Source organism: Homo sapiens, chromosome 8 (genome assembly GCF_000001405.40).
Source record: "Homo sapiens chromosome 8, GRCh38.p14 Primary Assembly".
In the NCBI taxonomy this organism is placed as follows: domain Eukaryota; kingdom Metazoa; phylum Chordata; class Mammalia; order Primates; family Hominidae; genus Homo; species Homo sapiens.
In genome coordinates, this window is record NC_000008.11 from 8733554 (window position 1) to 8737303 (window position 3750).

General features: G+C 39.7%; 1 annotated feature.

The window, feature by feature from the left end:
* Window positions 2947-3448: an enhancer, noted in NCBI's record as "NANOG hESC enhancer chr8:8594010-8594511 (GRCh37/hg19 assembly coordinates)". NCBI's record gives its function as "activates a minimal SCP1, AML or CMV promoter by ChIP-STARR-seq in primed H9 embryonic stem cells {active_cell/tissue: H9 hESC(primed)}" and the evidence as "EXISTENCE:reporter gene assay evidence [ECO:0000049][PMID:30033119]".

Genomic DNA, 3750 nt, shown 5'->3' on the forward strand with positions numbered 1-3750 from the left:
TGTTTTTTTATTTTTCTTTTTTTTTTTTTTAGATGGACTCTCACTCTGTCACCCAGGCTGAAGTGCAGTGGCGTGATCTCGGGTCACTGCGACCTCCGCCTCCCAGGTTCAAGCAATTCTCCTGCCTCAGCCTCCCAAGTGGCTGAGATTACAAGCGCCCACCACCATGCCCAGCTTTTTTGTTTGTTTGTTTGTTTGTATTTTTAGTAGCGATGGGTTTTCACCATGTTGTCCAGGCTGGTCTTGAACTCCTGACCTCAGGTGATGCACACACCTCGGCCTCCCAAAGTGCTGGGGTTACAGGCGTGGGCCATCACACCCAGCCTCCAGGCTCATCTTGTATATTTCCTGCTCAAGCCCTAGAATCAGCCATTTCTCAGGAAGCCCTAGTTCCTTTTATTGGAGAATGGGATTCGAAATCAAGATCTGGACGCAACATATGCCCATTGCACTGGCAGGTTATTGCTTACAGGCCTTCTCAGATGATAGAGCAAAGAAACATATGTGTGTATACTAACCCCTATATATACATATATCTATCAATGTTTCCATCTACAACCATCTGTATTTGTATTAAACAAAATGAATTCATACTAATGTCATGTCTGCATCTCTAATCCATTACCATATGGATCATCCTAGCATTTTCCCCTTGCTTATCTGTAACATCTCACTCCAACAGTGAGAAAACTAGCTCCCACCATCTGCCATGCATTTACTTAATGGATCAATTCCCCTGCACATGTATGGTTTACGTGTTTATTAACCTTCACCCCTGCCAGGGTTTGTTTTTTCTTTTTTTCGTATAAAGCAAACAGGAAACAAATAATAAAATGATAGACCTAAGTTTAACCATTTAAATAATTACATTAAATTATACTAATTGGTTATAATCTGAATGTTTGCATCTCCCCAAAATTAATATGTTGAGCCTCAATCACCAAAGTCATGATATTAGGAGACGGGGCCTTTGGAAGGTGATTAGGTCATGAAGACCAGAGCCCTCATGAATGGGATTAATACCCTTATAAAAGAGGTCCCAGAGAACTGCCCTGCCCCTCCCACCATGTGAGCCAGAAAGTGGGCTCTCACCAGACTTTGCATCTGCCAGCACCTGGATCTTGGACTTCCCAGCCACTAGAACTCTGAAGAATAAATTTATGTTGTTTATAAGCCACCTAGTTTATGGTGTTTTGTTATAAAAACCCAGCAGACTAAGATGTGATCTAAACAAACTAATTAAAAGACAGAAATTTATAAACATGCATTTTACAAAAAGACCCAACTATATGCCTTCTGTAAGTAATCCACTTTAAATGCAATGACATTGATATTTTAAAATGTGATAAATGTAATGAAAGGATGGAAAGCATACATTATGCAAATACTAATTAAAAGAAAGCTAGAATGGCTACATTCACATCAGATAAATATCAGAAACAATTAAAATTATCAGGGACACAACCTGCGTAGGGGATCAAAATTAACATGGTTCATGAAGGGCAGTGGATGCTGCATGCCTCCAGATAGAATGTCCTGAAGAAGACACAAAATCCCTTCATGAGAATGTGTAACCTGAATCTAATCACAATAGAATCATCAGAAAAATGCAAACGAAACAACATTCTGTTTTTAAAATGTCAGAGGGGAATGTATGCCTAAAAACTATTGATGTCATAAAAGACTAAGAAAGGCTGTGGGGAGTTGCAGGTCAAAGGAGGCTAAAGAGACATGCCAACTAAATGTGATATTTAACCCTGGCCTGGATCCTCCCTGGAGAGCAGTGAGGAGTCCTGTGAAAGACATTATTAGGTCAACCAACAAGACATGAATATGGGCCATAGATTAGATAAAAATATGACATTAATAGAAATTTATGAAATCTGTAACTATACTATGGATATGTAAGAGAATGTCACTCTTCTTAGGAAGTACACACTGAAGTGTTTAGGGATAACAGCCATGATATACGTACCTTACCCTCAAATGGTTCTGAAAATAATCACACACATGTGTATGTGTGTGTGCGTGTGTGTGTGTACAGAGAGAAAGCAAATGAATAGAGCAAATGTTATAACATATTAATAACAGGTAAATCTGAGTAAAGGGCATTACCAGTATTCTTTGTACTATTGTATTTTACTAATTATAAAGTGTTTTCAAAAATGTTATAAAAATTGACCAGGTGTGGTGGCTCACACCAGTAATCCTAACACTTTGGGAGGCTGAGGTGGGTGGATCTCTTGAGGCCAGGAGTTCAAGACCAGCCTGGCCAGCATGGTGAAACCCCATCTCTACTAAAAATACAAAAGTTAGCCAGGTGTGGTGGTGTGCGCCTGTAATCCCAGCTACTCTGGAGGCTGAGGCAGGAGAATTACTTGAACCCGGGAGGTAGAAGCTGCAGTGAGCCGAGATCGTGCCACTGCACTCCAACCTGGGCGACAGAGCAAGACTCCATCTCAAAAAAGAAAAAAGTTATAAAAATTATCCATAACTCAATTCTTAACTTCATTAATAAAATATAGAGGTTAGGAATGGGAGACCCATGGGGAAAGTGAATGTCTTCTCAATGTCGTAGTTGGTGGGGAATAGGAATGATGATGAATCTTTAGAGAGTCAGAGTGACTATTTTAGTATAGTCACATATTCACAGAGACTTCTAACCCTATGAGTTAAAATACAGAAGATATATAGTAAAATTTGTATTGCTTTATATTTTAGAAGGACACAGAGAGTTTTTTAAATTAATGTCCTGATTAATCTGGAAGAAATGTGAAAAGGAGAAAAGCATGAACAACAATAGGTATAATAAATAGTAAAATGCAAAGTAATAAGAAGATGTGAAATCAAATCCATGAGATACAGGGAGAAATGTGAACGGATTGAACACCAGTATTAGATGATAAGGACTCTCAGAACGGATTAAGACATAATACCAAACTATATGCTTCCTACAAGACACACATGTAAAACTTTTGACAGAAAATTTGAAACTTAAGGGATAGGCAGAGATACCAAGCACAGGCAAACCAAATAATTTAAATAAAATGAAATTCAAAAGCAGTGACTTTGCTATCAGCTGTAGGAGAGCCACATGAGTTTGCAGGTGATGAGAAATCATTTGATACCTCCCTATTTTCTTTCTACCCCGAGGAGGGTGTGCCACGTTTCCTTAACAACCCAGTCCACCCCTTTGTTCCAGCATAAATGGCATTAATGATGGTTTCATTGGTCATCATCTGGGGGCGGTCTCTCACTAACAGCCTAATTTCCTATTGCCGAGAAGACGGTTCTGATTTTTTTTTTAACGTATAGAAACGTGCATACGTGATTTTTCTGAAGTTTGTTCTAATGATCTGAGACATCTCTACTCACCCTGGAGAAAAGACTACAGCTGTGAATGGTGTGTTGACGCCACTAAAATTACAGCTGCTTACAGCTTCCAGGTCTTTTCCATAAACCACTAAAAGCAGAACCCTCTAGGATACACCTGGAGCTTTGTGGGCTGGCTTTCCAAGTCTGAGTTTTTGCTGCCACCTACAGGCTCAATCTGGGCAGCACACTTTGCCCTTAATGCCACTTTTGACTCATACCAAAAGGTCCCTTAAATAGCGTCTACGTTGCAAATTGCCCAAGGAACCAAAGTAAGTATCCAGCCTCCATGAATATGGCAAGTATCCCCAGACAGGAGCTACAGGGACACGTCCTCTACATATAAGGGACAGCGGTAAAGCAATTAATTCTCACCAG